Source organism: Homo sapiens, chromosome 8 (assembly GCF_000001405.40).
Source record: "Homo sapiens chromosome 8, GRCh38.p14 Primary Assembly".
Lineage (NCBI taxonomy): Eukaryota > Metazoa > Chordata > Mammalia > Primates > Hominidae > Homo > Homo sapiens.
Genome location: NC_000008.11, coordinates 27,806,548 through 27,829,939, shown reverse-complemented (window position 1 = coordinate 27,829,939; position 23,392 = coordinate 27,806,548). Strand labels below are relative to the sequence as shown.

Sequence of the window (23,392 nt, the reverse complement as noted above, 5' to 3'; positions counted from 1 at the left end):
TGAGCCACCACTCTTGGCCTCCTGTCATCTTATGGTATGTTTCTATTGATTGATTGATTTTTTAATTTTTTGAGATGGAGTCTTGTGCCCTGTCGCCCAGGCTGGAGTGCAATGGCGCTATCTCAGCTCACTGTAACCTCCGCCTCCTGGGTTCACGCCATTCTCCTGCCTCAGCCTCCCGAGTAGCTGGGATTACAGGCACGTGCCACCACACCTGGCTAATTTTTTGCCTCTTTAGTAGAGACGGGGTTTCACCATGTTGGCCAGGCTGGTCTCGAACTCCTGACCTAGTGATCTGCCTGCCTCGGCCTCCCAAAGTGCTGGGATTACAGGCGTGAGCCACCGCGCTAGGCCTCTATTGATTTATTTTTCTCCTATATTGGTCATATTTTCTTGCTGCTTTCATGCCTGGTACTTTTTGATTGGGCAGTAGATATTTTGCATTGTCTAGTACTGGATTTTGTTATTCCTTTAAAGAGTGTTTGATTTAGTTATGGTCTGAGGTTAAGTTACCTGCACATTAGCCTGTTCCTTTTGAGACTGGCTTTTAAGCTTTGTTTTGAATGTTTATCTGGGGCTAAACTTTAGCTGTACTATCTAGTTGTGACCCTTTAGAGGACTTTACTATGTGTTACAGGGTTACCATCCTCTAGCTCATGGTGATATGAAGTGTTCCTAGACTTGTATGATCTCTGGTAATTGTTGAGCCAATTGCTTTCCTCTGGTGCTTTCCCAGCTTTGGGGCATCTACACATTGTTATGTGCGGATAAGTACTTGGCCAAACACTCAAAGAGAAACTGTTCAGATCTTTGGAGTGCTCTCTTTGGAGCTCTCTAGTTCTCTGCTCCACAAATTCTAGCCGCCTAGTCCTTCTTGACCTCTGATCTCTGTCTCTTCAATGTGACAGGACTTCTGGATTATGTGACCTCTGTCCTGCAGTCTGGAAACTGCCTTCAAGCAGTAAGTTAGGGCAGTGATAGGGCCCACCTCATTTGTTTCTCTTCTCTCAGGCATCACAACACTGCTCTGCCTGTTGTCAAGTGTCTGAAAACAATTATATTTTGTCTAGTTTTCTAGTTAATGGCGAGATGGTAACTCTAGGAGCAGTTAATTGTCCAGGAGTAGTTAATTATTTTTCATGAGCAGAAGCAGAACTCCATCTTTTCATCTTTTTTTTTTTTTTTTTTTTTTTTTGAGACTGTGTCTTGCTCTGTCACCCAGGCTGAACACAGCTCACTGCACCTGCACCCTTAACCTCCTGGGCTCAAGTGTTTCTCCCAAGTAGCTGAGACCACAGGTGTGTGCCATCATTCCTGGCTAATTAAAAAAATTTTTTCGTGTGTAGAGATGGAGTCTCTTTATGTTGCCCAAGCTGGTCTCTACTGGGCTCAAGTGACCCTCCTGCCCCGGACTCCAAAAGCGTTGAGATTATAGGCATGAGCCACCACATCCAACCCCTTTATCTTTTAACAATGTTTTAAAAATGTGAAAACAGTTCTTAGCTTGTAGGCCATACAAAAACAGGCCATTTCCCAATCTCTGCTTCAGAGTTACTGTAGGATAAAACTCCAAAAGTAGGCTTGGTCAAAAGATACCCATTTAAAATTAGGATATATGTTGTCAAATTGCTCTCCAAAAAGACTGTGCCAATTAATACTCTTGGCAGTAGTATATTGAGAATGTTAAGATGCTTTATTTTTATTTTTTATTAATTTTATTTTTTATTTCTCTGACATTTAGTATTATGTTCAACTCCAACTATAAATATCCCGGCCTCTCCGTTTATGCAGAAGCTTGGCTTTGGTACTGGGGTAAATGTGTACCTAATGAAAAGGTAAGTATAAGATTTCAGATTAACCTTTTTTCATGCAACTATAATTCTACTGTACTTGGAGACAAAGAAGTAGTCTGAAAATTCCAGTATTTAGATTCGGTTGTCTGCTCCTGATCCTGGCTGATGGCTGTATTCCGGTCCCTAGACCCTTTTGTAACTTTGCCTGTAGCTCTGCCTCTGCTTTTCTCCTAGCTTCCTCCTGATGGGTTATTAAAGGGGAAGTCATTTACTTTTTAATTTTTCCTTGGCTTCCATAAGAAGGGGAAGTGGCAGGGGAAAGGGTTCCTTTGTGGTAATTAAACCAGATTCTTCATGAGAAAACCTCAAAGAGGAAGCCAGTATTGGGTGATGTCAGTGACTGCTGTCTTTTCTGCAGCGTTGCCCTCCTAAGATATGCTCTTCTAAAAGAAGTAAAAGATTTTCATTTCTTATGGCATTGTTATTAAGAAGGGTAAATACATGATTTTAAAGTAGGAATATTGTGTTAAGAAAAATGAAATAATCGAACAAGTATGGTGCCAATATAGCTGTCAACAAAGTGTTTTTTTAAATTACTTTTTTATTATTCATATATTTTTTTGAAACAGAGTCTCACTCTGTTGACCAGGCTGGAGTGCAGTGGCACGACCTCCCAGGTTCAAGCGCTTCTCCTGCCTCAGCCTCCTGAATAGCTGGGATTACAGGCGTGTACCATCACACCCAGCTAATTTTTGTATTTTTAGTAGAGACAGGGTTTTGCCATGTTGGCCAGGCTGGTCTCGAACTCTGGCCTCAAGCGATCTGCCCGCCTTCGCCTCCCAAAATGCTGGGATTACAGGTGTAAGCCACCATGCCCAGCCCAAAATTACTTCTTTTAATCATTACTCTGTACCTAGTTTCATGTTTATTAAGTGGCAAACAACTACATCAATATATATTCCTTAATGCATTCTTGGAATCAGTCTAACTAGTCCAACCCTCCGTATCTTAGCTTCATCTAGGTTTACATTGTTTCCAGATAGAAATGCTTTCTTTAATAAGAGGCTAATTAAGAATAATTTAGTAATTATATACAATGGGTATTCCTGAAGCATTTTTGCAGTTTAAACATTTTTTTTGTATGTTTGTATGGTATTGTTTTCTAATTTGTTTTTTAGTGTTAACTCCTATTTTGAAAGAAAAAAATTCTCACAGGTTTATGGCTAGTTTCATTTTTTTCCCCCTTTTTAAAAAAAGTTTTTAAATGTAAAGTGTTTTTAACAAAGTTACACTGTATGTGGTTTAGTCAAAAAGCTTCAAATAGCTGATCTTTTTTTTTTTTTTTTTTTTTGAGACGGAGTCTCGCTCTGTCGCCCAGGCTGGAGTGCAGTGGCGCGATCTCGGCTCACTGCAAGCTCCGCCTCCCTGGTTCACGCCATTCTCCTGCCTCAGCCTCCCGAGTAGCTGGGACTACAGGCGCCCGCCACCACGCCCGGCTAATTTTTTGTATTTTTAGTAGAGACGGGGTTTCACCGTGTTAGCCAGGATGGTCTCGATCTCCTGACCTCGTGATCCGCCCGCCTCGGCCTCCCAAAGTGCTGGGCAAATAGCTGATCTTGAAGAACAGCAGTGCCTGCCTGACCCTACACTCCTCCTGATTCAGCCCTGTCAACCTGGGATTTCTTTTATCCATAACCTGCAAATTTCCTATGCTTCTCTGCTGAATTATATCCTGTGTTTTTAGGTATCTTGTGTCTTATTATTTCTTGATTTACATCCCGTTTTCATTTAGGACATCTGGTAGCTCCCCATGAATCGGTGCACAGAAGATATATTTTTTTGAGAATTTGCATTTCCAAAAATGTTTTCATTTTACTCATACTTGAATGGCCCTTTTTGGTTTTCTGGGTTACAATTCTCATTTGGAAACAATTTCCCTCCAGAATTTTGAGAATATCAGTCACTGACATTGTTTTTTTTCTAGCTTACACTGTTGCTGTTGAGAATTATGAAGCCTTTTTGACTGCTAATTCTTCATATGTAATCCGTTTTATGTTATCTGTCCCCCCCACTGTCCTGGATCCTGGTATGATCTTCTGTATGTCGGTAGCATTCTGAAATTTCACAATGACATGAGTGGATGTGGGGATCTTGGAATCTGAATAGTTCCTGTTCTTAAATTTCTGAGACATTATTTTAAAAATTACTTTGTTGATGATTTTCACCTCTTTTTCTCTGTTCTCCATCTGGAATCCAATTATTTGAATGTTGAACTTACTGATTTCTCATCTACCTCTTTTTTGCTTGGTTTTCTTATTCGCTATCTTTTTTCTGAGATTTCCCCAGCTTTATCTTTCAACAATTCTATTGAGTTTTTATCTTGTTTTTAATTAATTATCTTTTTAAAAATAGCATCTTTAGTCTCTTGGAGTGCTAGAAATGTTCGGTATCTAGGTGTTGATAACACAGGTATATGCACATGTAAAAACTCATTGAGCATTTAGTATGCATATGGTGATTAATTATTAACCTGCTTCTGTATTACAGGTTCTCAACTGACAGTAAACCTCAGGCTAAAGACTTGTTTTATACCTTCCAAAGCTAGTCTACCATCTTTAGAAGCTGGGGAAGGGGGGTGGGCAGCTGCCAGTTGGTACAGAATTAAGGAGGGTATCTACGAGTCCACCTGTTTTTTACCATTATTATTTAGAGACAGGGTCTCATTTTGTTGCCCAGGCTGGAGTGCAATGGTGCCATCATAACTCACTGCAGCCTCAAACTCCTTGGTTTGAGCAATCCTCCTGCCTCAGCCTCCCAAGTAGCTGGGACTACAGGCGTGGGCCACCACATGTGACTTTTAAAAGTTTTTTGTAGAGAAGGGGTCTCACTATATTGCCCAGGCTGGTCTCAAACTCCTGGTCTCAAGTCATCCTCCTGACTTGGCCTCCCAAAGTGTTGTGATTATAGTTGTGTGCTAACCCTTCCAGGCCTACGTGCTTTTTAAATAACTTGCAAGCAGTTCATTGGGGCTAAGTCAGTTACTTTCTTCTGCTTTCCAGCTTCTGAAATTTTGTTGCTGTTGTCTCTTCTGCTGTTATTTCCATTCTTGCTGGCTTGTATGTCTAAAAAATATCCATTTGCTATTATGTTAGTGGGCTTGGAAAGGATAAAAACAATGTGTATGTTTAAGCTACAATTTTAACCCAGAAGTCTATATTTTTTTTGTTAAATCAAGTTTGCATTTCTTGGTTAAATCCAACATAGTTTTGATGTAGTATTTTTAAATAAACTGATGGATTCAGTTTGCTAATATTAAAGTTTATTTCAATTTTTGCATCTGATATAAGTGAAGTTGGCTTGTGGTTTTCCTTTTTCTACTGTCCCTTTTGATTTTTTAAAATTAAAGTTATATGAGACTCATAGTACCTTTTCTGTTCCCTGGGGAAACAGTTTGTATAAGATTGAATGGTAAATTCTTTGAAAGCTTAGTAAACTCACCTGTAAAATCATCTGCACTTTGTATTTCTAGTAGGAACATTTTAAACTGGTGATTAAATTTCTTCATTCATCAGTTTTCTTAGATTTTTCTAAGTCTTTGACCATTTTGTCTTAAATGATTGCATAAAGATTTTATTTACTTACATATTTTTTCTCTTGTATCTGTAGTTTTGTTTCCATTTTTATTTGTGATATTGTCTTTATTTTTTCTTGTGTAATCTCATCAGAAATTTGCCTTTTTTCTATTAGTCTTTTTAATGAACCAGCTTTTTGCATGGTTGAGTATTCAGATTTCATAAATCTATTCTTATTCGATAGATTAGAATATGTTATGGAAAAGGTGAAGATTGACTTGTTTACTAAATTCTAAACTTTCAAGAGCTAAACTTTCAACCCTTGAAATTTGAAAAATATATTTTTCATAATAAAATGATATGCAGGTGCTCATCATTATCCTCAAATGCTGCTGTTATTTAAAACTGGAGGTTTAAGAATAGTTTAGATCAACTTACGGATGATAGATGTACATGAATTAAGAAATCTTGTGATCCTTTTAGTATAGGCTTTTTGATTAAACAAAAAAGGTTCTGCAGTCTTAGAGCTATACCTGTGAGGGAGTCCAAAGCTAAACAGATCTTTGATTCAATCTCTTGTTTTGTGTTCTTACCATTAAACTTTCTGTCTTAAACTTCTGAGGCTCTTTCACTAGGTTTTGTGCTGTTATGCTGCATATACTTAAGTATTTTGTGATTTGCTCTACTCATAAATATCTACCACCTCAGGTAAACCTTTCCCTGACTTTATTTTACCTATTTAGGCCTTAAAACATTTATACCTTAAATATTTGTAAAATGGCTGAATCTTCCTAGAAAATAGAAAGTTTAAAATTTTCTCATTTGTATGTTCATCATTATCTCCTTAAGCACATATCTTTGAGCATGTGGTAAAAGGTATAAGGTGAATTGGTCAGTGTAGGGGAGCAATAAGAACAGCATGCTGTTCTTTGGATGATGATATATGGGTAAAATGTTCTTGATTATCTCTTCTTTAAATTTCCTAATGTTTTTTTCTTCAGGATCCTATAACTCATCTCTGATACATATAATTAAATATTTAATAAGTTGTAGTCCAACATGCTCAAATGGAAAAATTGGAAAGTTACAATTTTCAGGTTTAAAGTTTGTAACATTCCATCTTTACCCTTCAAATTCTTTTCATCCTCTCCCTTCCACAGTATAGATAGTAAGACTTGTTTTAGTATATTAGATCTTACCTCCCAATTGAAATGGAAATGTAGCAGAGGTGTTCATAGTCCAAACTATTTTAAATTCTGTTTTTAAAAGCAAATTTCTTTCAAGCTTTTTCCCAAAAATTTGGAAGTCATTTTAAAAAGTATTGTGGTTTTATTGTTTTCTATCCTTTTTAAATGAATTTTTTTCTTAGATCTCCAAGAGGTTTGTCTCATTCTCCTTGGGCTGTAAAAAAGATTAATCCTATATGTAATGATCATTATCGAAGTGTGTATCAAAAGAGACTAATGGATGAAGCTAAGATTTTGAAAAGCCTTCATCATCCAAACATTGTTGGTACGTTTAAATTTGGTAGCAGTATCTGGTATATTATTTTGTTTATTCAGAAACAGCTTATATGCTCTCTTAACTGGTTTCACTAATAGAAATGAAGAGGATGGGGCTGGATATTTAATGGGTATCAAATTAATGTGATTGGTCTAAAATAAAAATTTGCATATAGTATTTTTTGATGCCTAAGTATATAAACTTCATGAGAACAGATATAATAATTATGTTGCTAGTTCTATGAAGATTTTAAGAATATAAAATGATCTTCATTTAGATAATTTAAATCCATTTAGGTAATTTCCTGGATTTCATTTTTCATTTTTAATACAAGTAGGGCTGGTGAAACTATTATATTTAGGGAAGCAAAGGAAAATAAAAGTATTTTAATTTGTGGTACTACTGGCAAACACTGAAGGCATTTTAAATGAGATCTACTGAATTAGTCTTGTAAATAGTAGCTGTTTCATTGTATATTTGTCAGCGTTAGTCCAGATCCATATTTTCAATCACGTTACTATAAAGGACTTAAATATTATTGTTCTTCTCTATATTAGTGAAGAAATGTCATGTTTTCTTTAAGGTTATCGTGCTTTTACTGAAGCCAATGATGGCAGTCTGTGTCTTGCTATGGAATATGGAGGTGAAAAGTCTCTAAATGACTTAATAGAAGAACGATATAAAGCCAGCCAAGATCCTTTTCCAGCAGCCATAATTTTAAAAGTTGCTTTGAATATGGCAAGAGGGTTAAAGGTAACTATGTCATTATATTTTAAATGACTTCTGTTTTTGTTCATATTTTAAATGAACAAATAATCACTTTGCAGGACATCTTTGAATGTGGATGGATATTGTTACTTGTCAGTTCCAAAAAGGGGTTAGCGGAAAACAAAATAGAGGCTTACATTTCTGCTTCCAAATTACATTCATGTGTAGCTTAATATGTTCTGAGAAATGTGTCATTTGGCAGTTTCATCACTGTGCGTGCGGACATCATAGAGTGTACTTACACACACCTAGATGGTAGAGCCAACTACACACCTGGGCTATGTGGTATATATAGCCCAGTTCTCCTAGGCCACAAACCTGTATAGAATGTTACTGTACTGAATACTATAGGCAGTTGTAACACAGTGGTAAGTACTGTGTGACTAAACATATCAAAACATAGAAAAGGTAAAATCAAAATATGATATTATAATCTTATGGGACCACCGTCGTATATGTTGTCCATCATTGACCAAAACATCCTTATACGTACATGTGGCCCTAGTCATTCATTGTCCCACATGGTCTCAACAATTTATGTATGCTTCACTGAAGATTCCAAAATTATTTCTAAAAATTACTAGACTAGCCTCAAAATTGTGGTATCTTTTGAAATCTGCAGTTGTATCTTCTGATATAAAGTATGTAGGATTAGTTAACTTACCAAGTTAACCAATTTATAAGTATAGTTAACTTATAAGCTGTCGGTATATATACATACTTATATATAAAAATAGTTAACTTGGCTGGGTGTGGTGGCTCACGCCTGTAATCCCAGCACTTTGGGAGGCCAAGGCAGGCAGATCACGAGGGCAGGAATTTGAGATCAGCCTGGCCAACATAGTGAAACCCCATCTCTACTAAAAATACAAAAATGAGCCGGGCATGGTGGCGGCACCTGTAATCCCAGCTACTCGGGAGGCTGAGGCAGGAGAATCGCTTGAACTTGGAAGGCAGATGTTGCAGTGAGCCAAGATCGCGCCACTGCACTCCAGCCTGGGCAACAAGAGCAAGACTCTGTCTTGGAAAAAAATAGTTAACTTATAATTATTTATTTTATAAGTATAAAAGGTTAGCAGAAGTATCTATTTCTAAATAAACTTTTAGACTTCTGGTCAGTATGGCAGACTGAGATAACATGGGATGTTCCCTTCTCTTGTTTCAAATACTTTGAAATGCTGGGCACAGTGGCTCATACCTGTAATCCCAGCACTTTGGGAGACTGAGGCAGGCGGATCACTTGAAGCCAGGAGTTCGAGACAGACCAGCCTGGTCAACATGGTGAAACCTCGTCTTTACTAAAAATACAAAAATTAGCCAGGTGTGGTGGTGCCCGCCTGTAGTCCCAGCTACTTGGGAGGCTGAGGCAGGAAAATCACTTGAACCCAGGAGGCGGAGGTTGCAGTGAGCCGAGATCGTGCCACTGCATGCCAGCCTGGGCAACAGAGTGAGACTCCGTTTTAAAAAAAAAAAAAAAAATTTTGAAACGCTGGACAAATGTAAACCTAGAGTTTAGGAAGGGAGTTCAAGTTGTTATATTTGGAGGTTATCACATTTTTTTATTAGTTTGTGTTTCTGCACATATGTGTTAAATTTTTTACTATTTTAGTATCTGCACCAAGAAAAGAAACTGCTTCATGGAGACATAAAGTCTTCAAATGTTGTAATTAAAGGCGATTTTGAAACAATTAAAATCTGTGATGTAGGAGTCTCTCTACCACTGGATGAAAATATGACTGGTAAGTTGTACTCTTAAGTTTTAAAATTTTGTTTTTAATACAGTGTTTACATTTTTAAATACGTAAGTCCACATGGATCAAAAATCAAAAACTATTTTTAAAAAGTATATGGTAAAAAGTCCCCTTTTTTTCTCTCTCTCCCAGTCAGCCTGCAGTCTTCTCCCTTGCCACATGTACAGTATAAATTACTGTATTATTATTAGTAGTAGTATTAGTATATATTTTAACTGGAGTTATCTTTGGGAAATATTTCTAACTGGATTGGGATCTTTAAGCAGTAAAGCATCTGGGAATAGAAAGTAAAATTTAGTAAGGTTGTGTAAAGCGGTTTATTTAGCATGAGTAAAGTGACAAGATTTAGGAAACTGGTAGAAGAAACTGGAATGAAGCAGAAAAGAGGGGTGCTAATGAAGGCTGGTCTTTGGCTCTTTGCCCTTTCTTCTCTATTGCATAGCTTCTCAGGGAATTTAAGATATGTTCTTGGTGAGAAACAAGAGCCAGCCTCAAGAGAAAGCCTCTGCTTGCAACATATTATTTAGTAAATAATACTTAAATTTGTCTCTTTATATCAACAGAAGTTAAACAAATGGTTAATAAATGCTGTTTAGAACATATAAATGCCTGAATTTCTAGCTGAAGTAAAAGTTTACAAGTTGAGTTGAAGGCAAGAGTCAGAATGAATGGACAGACTTTATAAATAAATGATGTCTGTAATCATTAATAAAAATAGAACTGTTGTGAAACCTTATGCTAAATAACTTACAAAATGGGAACTTTAGAAAGTAAAAGGATAAATTGTCAAACATAATAAAAATGAGGGTTTTTAAAGTATTTTTCTCAATGCTTAATAGAGCAAACAGACAAATGTAAGGATGTTAAAGATCTGAGTAAATAGTAAGGCAAGTACCTCTGCACCATAATATTTATTAAAATTGACCATATTCTTAGATCACACAAAAAAACTTCGAATTATAAAAAGTATGAATAGTCTAATAGGTGATATTCCTTAACATCAATGCTGTAAATCTAGAAATTTGTAATAAAATAGGAAACAAAAACTCCAAACTTTTTAGGAATTTAAAACACTTCCGAATAATTTTTGGCTAAAAAGAGAAATCAAATTCCATTTATAAAATATTTAGAAAATATAAGAATATAACAAGTCAAACCCTATTTGATATGTTCAAAACTACTCAAAGGAAACATTTTCATTATTTAACTTTTATGAAGTTAAGTTGAATATTCAACTGAAATTGAAAAAAATGACGCCCTAAGAACAGAAAGCAGAAATGAATGAATTTGATAGCCTATAAATTCTACATAATCTTAATGTGATCTATTCTAGAACATGTCAGAATTAATCTGAAGTTCCTCTTTGAGGATACATGTTCAATCAAACATGGCTGGGAAAACTCGATGAAAGGAGGAGGAATCTTCCTGAGCAGATAAAAAGTTTTATAAAGCTACAGTAATTAAAGCGATGATACTCATGCCAAAATAGGCAGAAAAATAGAACATGAGAGTCAGGAAATAGTTCCCAAATAGAGGAATTTGTTGTGTGATAAAGGTGACATTTTTGTATTAGTGAGAAAAGAGGTAGTTTAGTCAGTAAATGATGTTATCTGGACATTTTAGAAAAAAACACAGCTGTTTTCTATCCTTACACTTGAATCCCCATATATTGAAGATTGGGGGAAAAAGTAACAGTAGAAAAAATTGTAGATAAATAGTTCTTTAATGTTGGCTGTGGAGAGGACTTTAAAGAAGACACCAAAGCTAGAAACCATCATTAAAAAGCCATGGGTACCTCCATTTAAAAAAAAAGAATTCTATATCACAGTGGGTTGGAGAGGGGCAGGGAGCTTAAGACATTAGAAACTGAGATAAATGTATAAGATATTTAATATTTCTAATGCATTAAGAGTTATTAGTAATCAATGAGAAACAGATAAAAGCTCTATTATGAAGAGACTGTTGAGAAATGAAAAAAATGGCAATTAGGAAAATATATATGTAATGTTCTTACTAATGTTTTAAAAGCTAAATAACAATGAGATAATCTGCTATCAACACTCATCACACTGTGTAAATTATCTGTTAAACGTTTCTCCATTCCTCCATTAGGCTTGTAAGCTCTAAGAAGGGAACCTTGTATATCTTGTCCACTGAAATATCCTCAACTCTAGAATAGTGCCTGACTTGTAAATATATTATTGAAGGAGTAACAAGATTGCTAGTAAATAAAAAGATTGCTAGTATGAGCAACAATGTAGGTTAACATGTCCTCTCATACACTAAGTAGAACTTGTAACTGCTGTTTTACTGAGGTTAGAATAGGTTTTGCTGTGGTAACACAGACCTCAAAAACTTCAGTGACTTACAACAACCAAGGCTTATTACTCAAGCTGCATGGCCATTAGCACCTTGTTCTGTGTCATTCTCCCTTTAGGACTTATACTGATGGAACAGCCACTATATGGAACATGGCCACCATTATGGGGAGGGTGAAAAAGCATTGGAGTGGTACTGTCCAATACAGTAGTTATGAGCTGCATGTTGCTATTTACATTAATATTAAAACATTGAAATTATTTTCTCAGCCACCCTAGCCACAATTCAAGTGCTCAGAAGCTACATGTGGTTAATGGTTACCACATTGGACAATGCAGATTTAGGAGATTTAATCATCATAGAAAGTTTCATTGAACAATACTGCTCTAGAAAGTCTTGCAGTGATAGTTAAATGCTCAAGCTCAGAAATGACACAAGTCATTTCTTGTGGTAGAACCTTTCAGGTGACAGTTTGGAAAGCTGTATTTAAAATAAGAAAAACCTTTAAAAATGTTTATGCCCTTTGACCCTATAGTTTCATTCTTAAGAACACAGTCCAAAGAAGTAATTGAGTAATTAGGCAGTACAGGCATTTTTTTTATAATAACCTGATATATTATTTCCTGCAAAACTTCATTGCGCAAAAGTTTCAAGATATAACTAGGTTTATAGAAAAAAAAAACAGGGTTAAAACCTATGCAACTTTGAAAACTAAAGCAGTAACAAAAACAGTTAATAATCCTAATAAAAGATACTAACACATTAAATCTGCAAGGGCATAAACATTTTAAAATATTTTTCTTATTTTAAATGCAGATTTCCAAACTGTCGTCTGAAAGGTTCTACCAGAAGAAATGACTTGTGTCATTTCTGAGCCGGAGCAAGACTTTCTAGAGCAGTGCTGTTCAGTGAAACTTTCTATGATGATAAAATGTTCCTTTGTAGCCATAAACCCTGGGTTTATGCTGAAGGTTACATATGAGAGTATTTTCAATAGATACTTTTCATCAAGATGAAAAATTTGATCTGGCTTTCTCACTAAAAATATATATATATTTTTAAGCGTGTGGGAAATGTGTTGGCAGCTCCTTTACCTGGACTCACTCACAGCTTTTGTAGTTAGCAATAGCAATTCTTAAAGCTACTACACCAGGCATATGCTCAGGGAAGGCATTTCTGTAGGCAAAGGCTTTCTATTTGTGAGATTTGCCTCTGATCACTTCAAAAATAACATTTATGTACTGGGAAAAATATCAATCTTTTTACTGTTTCAAAAATACACATTGTAGCAGAACAGACTATGCAACAATGTGTGAGAATGTCCACCAATAAGGGGTGGTTTAATTTATACTACCACACAATAGAATACCATATATCCATAAATTATACGGGTTTATATTTATAGGCATAAATATATCCAGTGAGATAAACAGAGTATAAAATAGCACTTATATGTATTTACATATATGAAGAAAAGTTTGAAAAAAAATACCCAAATCTTAAAATTTTTTTTAAACAGGTAATATATTAACATTTCACAACTAAAATATAGTATTCTGGCTGGGCGCAGTGGCTGACACCTGTAATCCCAGCACTTTGGGAGGCCGAGGCGGGCAAATCATGAGGTCAGGAGATTGAGACCATCCTGGCTAACACAGTGAAACCCCGTCTCTACTAAAAATACAAAAAATTAACCAGGCGTGGTGGCGGGCAGCTGTAGTCCCAGCTACTCAGGAGGCTGAGGCAGGGGAATGGCGTGAACCCAGGAGGCAGAGCTTGCAGTGAGCTGAGATCAAGCCACTGTACTCCAGTCTGGGCGACAGCGAGATTCCATCTCAAAAAAAAATAAATTAAAATAAATAAATAAATAAATAAATATATATATATATAGTATTCGATGAAAAGCCAAAATCTTAAGTGTTTATCTCAAGATAAATTTGCAAATATTAATACTATATACATGTCAGGCACCATGAATATAGAGTACATGAGACAGACACAGTCTTACCCTGTTGCAGCTCCTAATCTAGGATGGAAAGCAGCTTTTGAATACTAATGAGACAAGATGACAGTTATGATACAAGGAATTATAAACACAGCAGTGGCCCTTAACCTAGTCTAGATGTTGAGGAAGGCCTCGCTAAATGATGTTTAATAAGCTGAGAATTGAAGGATAAGTAGGAGCTCCAGTTTCATCATTTTTCAGTTTGGGATAGTAACTAAAGCATGTCTGCTTAAACTCTTTGAATGTAGTAAAGGGAAATAAAGTATAAACTGTTTCTGTATCAACCAAAAGAAATGACTGAACCATTAGTTTATGATCTCATCAAACTTTTGTTGTCAGAACAATCCATCTTCACAGGGAGCAAACCCAATCACTAACATAGGTGGCAGGGGGCCCAATCCATTATGTTTAAATACTATGTTAAATTCACTATGTCACATGCTATTATGTTTACAGACTTGGAGAACTGTAAACATACATACAGGAAATGCACTTGTGGTTCGAGTCTCAAATTGGAGCCGTTATTTTAGACCCAGAGTTCTAGAAAACTACTTTTTAGCCTGATGGATCCTTGTAGGAATCTGACCTACTTAGAATGTATGTGTACACACACATATACGTGTATATACTGAACGGTGTAAGTATCCTTCCTTATTGCCACAGAGTCACTGCCCATGTGGGCCATGTCTATAGGCTTTTCTCTTGTCATGAATTCCATGAAGTACCTCTAATATATAAGGTACAGTATAGGGGAAAACCTTTAAGGAGCTTATAATGTCCATGGCTACCTTCTAAACTGTAATGCCCAAAGCAGAACTAAGTACAAAGGCTACCATAGAGACACCACTCATCTTTCCTTCTTGCCTGCTGGTACTGGGTACCCTCCTAGTCTGGTATTTTTGTTCTCACTTAACAGAGCCTGCTCATTTATCAGGCATACCTCTCAAAATGTTAACGGAATAAATGAGTGCTTGTTAACTGGAATCTTCAATTTCCTGGCTTATGGATTCTCACTTTTCCTTCTTTTACCCCTCCCTTTTGTTCTTTAAATGTTAGTTTCATCCTCTTTTCCTTGTAAAGTTCTTGAGACTCTCAGGGCAGAACTTTCCTTCAGTTCTGGAGAAATTTCTTTCAGTAAACAGCCCCACTGTGTCTTCTTTCTATTGTTTCAAAATGAATTATATTGTTTTCACTCTAACCTTATTTGTGAGGAAATGCAGATTATAGTAATCAAATACTGAAAATTTTCATTTTTTAGTATAATACACTCTAACACTGCCTAGTGAATATTCTGTCTGTAAGAGTTTGAGTTTATCCTAGTTATAGCAGAAGTAAAGGTTTGTATGACACTATGGGAGGAATCATAGAGTATATTTGTTGGCCACAATGGAATTAAGTTAGAAATCACTAACAAGATATCTAAGGAAACCCCAAGTATTTGGAAATTCAGTAACACAAATTTAAATAACCTATGGGTCAAATAAAATGACAAGGGAAATTGGAAAATGTTTTGAATAATTAAGGAAAATACAGCATATCAAAATGTGCAAGCAATAGCTAAAGCAGGGCTCAGAGGGAAATCTATAGTTGTAAATTATATTGGAAAAAAGGAAAGTTCTAAATCAATGACCTATGTTCATTGATTTAATCTAGAAAAAGAAAAGCAGAGCAAATCCAAAGGAAGGGAATAAAGCTATGAGCAGAAATCAATGAAATAAAAAACAAATACTATAAAATATTAACAAAGCCAAAAGCTGGTTATTTGAAAAGATAATGAAATATATAAAGCTTTATCTAGACTGATCAAGAAAAAAGAGAACACAAGTCACCAACAACAGGAATGAGAAAAGGGTTATTGTAAATTCTACACACATTTAAAGAATAATTAGGCTATTATAAACGGCTTTATGGCAATGAATTTGACAACTTAGATGAAAAGGACAATTTCTTTGAAAAATACAATTTACCAAAATTAATATAGGAAGAAAAGGAAATCCACATAGCCCTATGTCTACTAAGAAACATTCCCACAAAGAAAACTCAAGACCCAGATGTTTTACTGTTGATTTCTACCAAATATCCAAGGAAGAAATGATATGGATTTTACACAAACTTTTTCAGAAAATAGAGGAATAAGGACCTCTGCCCAGTCTGTTTTTGTGGTCAGCATAACTCTAATATGAAAACCTGACACATTGTAGGACATCCTATCGGTCCTGATGTGATTATTATACACTGCATGCCTGCATCAAAATATCACATTAACACATAAACATGTACACCTGCTATGTACACAGAAAAATAAACTGATAAGAAAAAAAAATCATAGTCCAATATCCTTCACAAACACAGGTATCAAAATCCTTAACAAAATATTAGCCAATTCAGTCTAATACTACATGAGAACACTACATCTTGACCAACTAGGACTTATTCCAGGAAGGAAAAGTTGTAACATTCAAGAATCAATGTCCTCACTATGCTGTACGTTAGGTCACCAGAACTTACTCATCCTGCATAATGGAAGCTTCGTGCCCTTTGTTAATACTGTACACTTGAGATTTGCTGAGAGTAGATCTTGAGTATTCTCACACACACAAAAAAATGGTAACTATATGAGGTGATAGATATGTTAATTAGCTTGACTGTGGCTATGAGGTCAGTGTTTACATATATCAAACATCAAGTTGTATACCTTAAACATATATAATTTGTTAATTATACCTCAAAGCTTGGGGGAGGAGTCAATAAAATTCACCATATTAACAAAATTGTTTAAGTTCTAGGGTACATGTGCACAATGTGCAGGTTTGTTACATAGGTATACATGTGCCATGTTGGTTTGCTGCACCCATTAACTAGTCATTTACATTAGGTATTTCTCCTAATGCTATCCCTCCCCCCTACCCCATGACAGGCCCCAGGGTGTGATGTTCCCCACCCTGTGTCCAAGTGTTCTTATTGTTCAGTTCCCACCTATGAGTCAGGACATGTGGTGTTTGGTTTTCTGTCCTTGTGATAGTTTGCTGAGAATGATGGTTTCCAGCTGCATCCATGTCCCTGCAAAGGATATGAACTCATCCTTTTTTATGGCTGCATAGTATTCCATGGTGTATATGTGCCACATTTTCTTAATCCAGTCATTGACGGACATTTGGGTTGGTTCCAAGTCTTTGCTATTGTGAATAGTGCCACAATAAACATAAACGTGTACATGTGTCTTTATAGTAGCATGATTTCTAATCCTTTGGGTGTATACCCAGTAATGGGATTGCTGGGTCAAATGGTATTTCTAGTTCTAGATCCTTGAGGGATTGCCACACTGTCTTCCACAATGGTTGAACTAGTTTACAGTCCCACCAACAGTGTAAAAGCATTCCTATTTCTCCACATCCTCTCCAGCATCTGTTGTTTCCTGACTTTTTAATGATTGCCATTCTAACTGGCATGAGATGGTATCTCATTGTGGTTTTGATTTGCATTTCTTTGATGACCAGTGATGATGAGCATTTTTTCATGTCTGTTGGCTGCATAAATGTCTTCTTTTGAGAAGTTGTCTGTTCATATCCTTTGCCCACTTTTTGATGTTTTTTTTTTTTTTTTTCTTGTAAATTTGTTTGAGTTCTTTGTAGATTCTGGATATTAGCCCTTTGTCAGATAGGTCGATTGCAAAAATGTTCTCCCATTCTGTAGGTTGCCTGTTCACTTTGATGGTACTTTCTTTTGCTGTGCAGAAGCTCTTTAATTAGATCCCATTTGTCTGTTTTGGCTTTTGCTGCCATTGCTTTTGGTGTTTTAATCATGAAGTCGTTGCCCATGCCTATGTCCTGAATGGTATTGCCTAGGTTTTCTTCTAGGGTTTTTATGGTTTTAGGTCCAACATTTAAGTCTTTAATCAAATTTGAAAACTACATATCTCAATAGATACCGAAAAAGTGTTTGACAAAATCCAACATCCATTCTTGATTTAAAAGTTAGTTTAAAATCTAGTTAACCTCTCAGCTAACTAGAAATAGAAGGGATCTTAGCTTGAAAAAGGCTGTCTACAAGAAAAACCTGCAGGTATCATACTGAAGTAGGGAACAAGACCAGGATGCCTGCTCTTGCCAGTTTTATTTAGCAGTCCTATAGCCCTAGCCACTAAAATAAGGCAAGAAAATGGAGAAGGCAAAATTGGAAAGGAGACGAAACTGTCCCCGTTTGCAGTTGATATGTTGTTTAGGTAGAAAATCCCAAGGAATCTATAAAACAGCTATAGTGAAGTTAGTGATTACATTTCTGTGTATTAGCAGTATATAATTGAAAATGGAATTGTTTAAAATCTATTTACAAGTACCAAAACCCAAAATATTTCGGAATAAATAACCAAAAAAGTCTAAAACCTCTGTAATGAATACTATAAAGCATCACTGAGAAAATTCAGTAAGATATAACTAAGTGGAGAAATATATGACTGCGGTTTGGAAGACTCAATACTATTAAGATGTTAATGCTTACTAAATTGATCCAGAGATTTAGTCCAATCCTAATGAGAATTTTAGCTGGCTTTTTCATTGAAATTGACAAGTTGACTCAAGTTTAAATGGAAATGTGAGTGGACCTATTTCTTTCTTGGGCTTTAAAAAAGAGCCTATGTGTGATTGGTCCCTTTCCCTTTTCCTTGACATAGCAATCATGGAAGCATAGAAATGGTACTTCTCTCAGCCTAATATTGTTCACAAAATGAAGAAATTCAGGTCTAGAAGTGATCTGCTCAAGGTCACGCAGCTTGCACACACATGTCTTTGAACCAACCCAAGCAAGGCAGTCTGGCTCCAGAGTCTGTAATCTCAACATCCACATTCTATATTCCTACTAATTTGTAAGAGAATTGCTGTTTCTCTACATACCTGCCAACTGACCAGCTTCTTGAATATTTACCAACCTGAAAGGTAGAAAGTAATCCTTATTGAGGTTGAGTGTATTTTTACATTTTCTGGCTACACTGATTAACCTGTGAACTACTTGTTCAAATCGTTCGCCTGTTTCCCTTTGGGTTGCTTGCCTTTTCGTGATTTGTAGCTCCTGCCTTCATAACCATCTTGCTTGTTTCAGTGACTGACCCTGAGGCTTGTTACATTGGCACAGAGCCATGGAAACCCAAAGAAGCTGTGGAGGAGAATGGTGTTATTACTGACAAGGCAGACATATTTGCCTTTGGCCTTACTTTGTGGGAAATGATGACTTTATCGATTCCACACATTAATCTTTCAAATGATGATGATGATGAAGGTATGAATACAATTTCTAACATAAATCCCAATCTCTTCATTTCACACTAAAGATTATATAATTTTATCTTTCTAAGATATGTATTAGTACTGATGACTGATTTGGTACCACCAAGGTTTAATCTCACACAAATGAGACATAGATTGAGAATAGGGAGAAAAATTGAGGCTATCCAGAGAAGCAAAACATTATCTTAAAAACTCCCCTTTCCTGAGAAAATGATTGATTGGAAAACTATCACAGGAAGGGTAAAAGTAGGGGTCGATAACCTATAAATCCAAGACTAAAGCAAATCTACTTGATGGCAGGACAATTGAAGACATTTCCATTCTGTCTGTGGCAGAATGGAAAGCATACTGGACCATAAATTCTTGTTTCAGGAGAAGGGTGAGCTATTAAACTTTTCCATGACATAAAGTGATTTTGTTTATTGTTTCAATCTCTAACTCCTTCAAGATAAAACTTTTGATGAAAGTGATTTTGATGATGAAGCATACTATGCAGCGTTGGGAACTAGGCCACCTATTAATATGGAAGAACTGGATGAATCATACCAGAAAGTAATTGAACTCTTCTCTGTATGCACTAATGAAGACCCTAAAGATCGTCCTTCTGCTGCACACATTGTTGAAGCTCTGGAAACAGATGTCTAGTGATCATCTCAGCTGAAGTGTGGCTTGCGTAAATAACTGTTTATTCCAAAATATTTACATAGTTACTATCAGTAGTTATTAGACTCTAAAATTGGCATATTTGAGGACCATAGTTTCTTGTTAACATATGGATAACTATTTCTAATATGAAATATGCTTATATTGGCTATAAGCACTTGGAATTGTACTGGGTTTTCTGTAAAGTTTTAGAAACTAGCTACATAAGTACTTTGATACTGCTCATGCTGACTTAAAACACTAGCAGTAAAACGCTGTAAACTGTAACATTAAATTGAATGACCATTACTTTTATTAATGATCTTTCTTAAATATTCTATATTTTAATGGATCTACTGACATTAGCACTTTGTACAGTACAAAATAAAGTCTACATTTGTTTAAAACACTGAACCTTTTGCTGATGTGTTTATCAAATGATAACTGGAAGCTGAGGAGAATATGCCTCAAAAAGAGTAGCTCCTTGGATACTTCAGACTCTGGTTACAGATTGTCTTGATCTCTTGGATCTCCTCAGATCTTTGGTTTTTGCTTTAATTTATTAAATGTATTTTCCATACTGAGTTTAAAATTTATTAATTTGTACCTTAAGCATTTCCCAGCTGTGTAAAAACAATAAAACTCAAATAGGATGATAAAGAATAAAGGACACTTTGGGTACCAGAAGGTGTCTCAGCATTATTTTATACTTCATTGATTTGAGTGTTGTCATTAAACTTGAGTAAATGTGAGGTTTCTTTCCCTCTCTTGGCCTTATTTTGCTAATCTATAAAGTGTTTTGGATCAGTAGTTTCTGTAAGCCACAGTCCCCTGGGAATTTTCCAAATTACTGAATTGCCAATGTAGGTGGTATACCTACATTTGGGTGTAGACAGAATTTTAAAAATTACCGACACAGGGCGTTCTCAGAAACATTAGGAACAACTGCACTCTGAACTTTAAAAATGCCTAGAAATCACTGAAGGCCTTTTGGTATAAGATTGTACCAAGCAATAGGACACAACATTAATTTGCATATATTCCATCAAAATAATGTGACAAGTAAATTGGAAGTTGTCTTAATTTGTAGAAAAACGTATGTATAATTTTGCATCCTGATACTCAATAGGGTCTCTTATCCTCACTCTGACATGTGTCACTCTTCTTTGCCAAGCCAACAGAGCAGCTTCTCCAGGGCATTCTTTTCCTAGCAGGAATAGCAGTTCCTGCTTTAAGACTTAAAGCAGGAACTGGATCTTTCTTGAATTGGCTCTTTAATACATAAGCCATTGCTTTTCATTGAGAAATTTATTTCCACTTCCTACAGTTGAGATATCTAATAGGAATAAACTAATACCAAGGACAAGACCAGCAAATTCACAGCCCTTGTCTATGGTAGACATTACAAAATAATCCCAGCATGCACTGCCCCTTGAGTCTGGTGAGGTCCTAGAAATCCTCAACACAAGATTGCAGACAATCTGCTACCAACTGGAAGAAAATTTTTTTTATTCTTGTTCTAGAACTTGCTCTAAGTCTCAGATGTTATCTTTTTGGACATTTGCCTCATTCTCAAAAGAGCAACATGTGACTTGGCTGAGGGCTTTTTTTTTTTTTTTTTTTGAGACAGGGTCTTGCTCTGTCACTCAGGCTGGAGTACAGTGGGGCAATCATGGCTCACTGCAGTCTCAACCTCCCAGGCACAAGTGATCCTTGCACCTCTGCCTCCCACTCCGAGTAGCTGGGACCACAGGTGTGTGCCACCACACCTGGCTAATTTTTTTTTTTTTATTTTTTGTAGAGACAGGGTTTTACCAAGTTGCTCAGGCTGCTCTGGAACTCCTGAGCAACCTCTGTCTAGGCCTCTCAAACTGCTGGGATTATAGGCGTGAGCCACCGTGCCCAGGACTACCTTTACACTGAATTAATTAGTAAATCAAAATAGCCTTCTCTCAAGTGGCTTTCTCACCTCCCAGGAAATCTTTCCCTTTAGAATCTGTAGAAGCCTCCAGGAGCTTGTTATGCCTCCATAAAAGGAGATAATCAGCAGCTACTTGAGAAATGTTGAAGATGATTCTTTCATGTCTCCTGGTACCTATTTAATCTTCTACAATCTGTTGATTAGAATAAAAATTAGAAAGGATTTTAAACTAGACAAATGCTACATATAAAAACTATATATAAAAAAATGCTATATATATCAGCTAAGAATTTGGGAAAAACAAAACAAGTCTCCCGTCTTAGACTACTATAACAAAAATACCATAAACGAGGTGCCTCAAACCACAGAAATTTCTCATAGTTCCAGAGACTAGGAAGTCCAAGATCAAGATGGTATCTGGTGAGGGCATCCTCATAGAAGGCACCTTCTGGCTGTGTCTTTACATGGTGGACAGAGCAAGGGAGCTCCCCGACCCTCTATTTTTATAAGGGCATTAATCCCTAAGGGTTCCTTCCACCATCATGACCCATTCACCTTCCTAAAGACACTACTTACGATGGTATTACATCATCTTGGGGGACAGGGTTTCAACATACAATTTTTGGTAGAACACATTCAGACCATAGTACCTCCCTTCCAATGGGGGGAAAAAATTAAAACTTACAGGAAATAGAAAACAAACCTATGATAGGATTAACAATGCCAATCTTCAAAAATACTAACAAAATTGATAAACCCCTAGGCAAAACTCATCTGTGGAGAAAAAAGACATGTCATGAATGAAAAAACCTTTACTACAGATCCTACAGATACCCAATCTTATTCAAGAACACATGAAAAGTCCAAAAGAAAACTAGTTCACTGAAGCCAATAACATTAAAAAGAAAAACATCAAGACCAAATTGGGTTTGGTTTATTTAGTTCAGGGAGGCTAGATTGCTTTAACATTCAAAGAACAATGTAACCGCCATATTAACAATAAAGAAAAATCAAAATCATCTCCAAAGATAGAAGAAAGACTTTTTATAAAATCTGAGTATCTGTTCAAGATGTTTGAGAGCTTCCTAGAAACCTAGGAATAGACAGAGGAACTTCCTTAATATTAGAAATTTATCTACAAAGAAACTATAAACCTTATATTTAATAGTAAAATGTTGAAAACTTTACCTATTATCAGCAATGAAACAAATATGCCCCCTACCATTGCTTTTATTCAACACTGTACTAGACTGGCAATCTTAGAAATGCAATATTGTAAGAACAAAAAAGCTGTAAGATTCTAAAAGAAAACTCATTCACAGATATTATGTAGATAGAAATAGATAAATTAGAATTAATTAAGTTTAGAAAGATTGTGAATACAAAGTCAAAACAGAAAACTTGTAGTTTATATATCAGCAAACAAGATGTAACTTAAAACACTTTTCCCAATGGCTTAAAAAAAAGTAACAGCTGGGCATACTGGCTCATGCCTATAATCCCAGGACTTTGGGAGGCTGAAGTGGGTGGATTATTGGAGGTCAAGAGTTAAAGACCAGCCTGGCCAACATGGTAAAACCCCGTCTCTACTAAAAATACAAAATTAGCTGGGCGTGGTGGCATGCACCTGGAATCCCAGCTACTGGAGGCTGAGGCAGACAATAGCTTGAACCCGGGAGGTGGAGGTTGCAGTGAGCCAAGATAGTGCCAATGCACTCCAGCCTGGGCAACAAGAGCAAAACTCCGTCTAAAAAAAAAAAAAAAAAGAAAGTATCCAATACTTGAGCAAGTCTAAAAATCAGTCCTCCCAAATTGATCTATAGATCTGACACAATTCCA

At 36.1% G+C, this 23,392-nt stretch overlaps 2 protein-coding genes across 6 annotated transcripts in view, besides 1 other annotated feature; one reads left to right on the top strand and one right to left on the bottom strand.

Moving 5' to 3' along the window:
• PBK (PDZ binding kinase) overlaps window positions 1-20,316 on the top strand; it is a 28,194-nt gene extending 7,878 nt beyond the window's left edge. For 2 of the 3 annotated variants that reach the window (NM_001363040.2, NM_018492.4), the window contains exons 3-8: window positions 1,742-1,835; window positions 6,735-6,877; window positions 7,452-7,621; window positions 9,246-9,375; window positions 18,806-18,982; window positions 19,439-20,316. In NM_001363040.2, the coding sequence (NP_001349969.1) occupies window positions 1,742-1,835; window positions 6,735-6,877; window positions 7,452-7,621; window positions 9,246-9,375; window positions 18,806-18,982; window positions 19,439-19,635 (911 nt within the window). In that variant the 3' untranslated portion in view covers window positions 19,636-20,316. Of the gene's footprint in view, window positions 1-1,741; window positions 1,836-6,734; window positions 6,878-7,451; window positions 7,622-9,245; window positions 9,376-18,772; window positions 18,983-19,438 lie in introns of all 3 variants that reach the window. The other variant, NM_001278945.2, reaches the window with a different exon arrangement.
• Window positions 1,802-2,002: a silencer, noted in NCBI's record as "peak6971 fragment used in MPRA reporter construct". NCBI's record gives its function as "represses an SCP1 promoter by STARR-seq MPRAs in K562 erythroleukemia cells {active_cell/tissue: K562}" and the evidence as "EXISTENCE:reporter gene assay evidence [ECO:0000049][PMID:32103011]".
• ESCO2 (establishment of sister chromatid cohesion N-acetyltransferase 2) overlaps window positions 10,280-23,392 on the bottom strand; it is a 47,687-nt gene continuing 34,574 nt past the window's right edge. Inside the window, exons 12-13 of one of the 3 annotated variants that reach the window (XR_949378.4) lie at window positions 21,602-21,746; window positions 10,280-18,635 (exon numbers count right to left, since the gene is read on the bottom strand). Coding sequence is in view for 1 of the 3 variants with exons in the window: in XM_011544422.3 (XP_011542724.1) it covers window positions 21,712-21,746 (35 nt within the window). In the remaining 2 variants the exon portion in view is untranslated. Of the gene's footprint in view, window positions 21,747-23,392 lie in introns of all 3 variants that reach the window. The other 2 variants (XR_007060703.1, XM_011544422.3) reach the window with 2 other exon arrangements.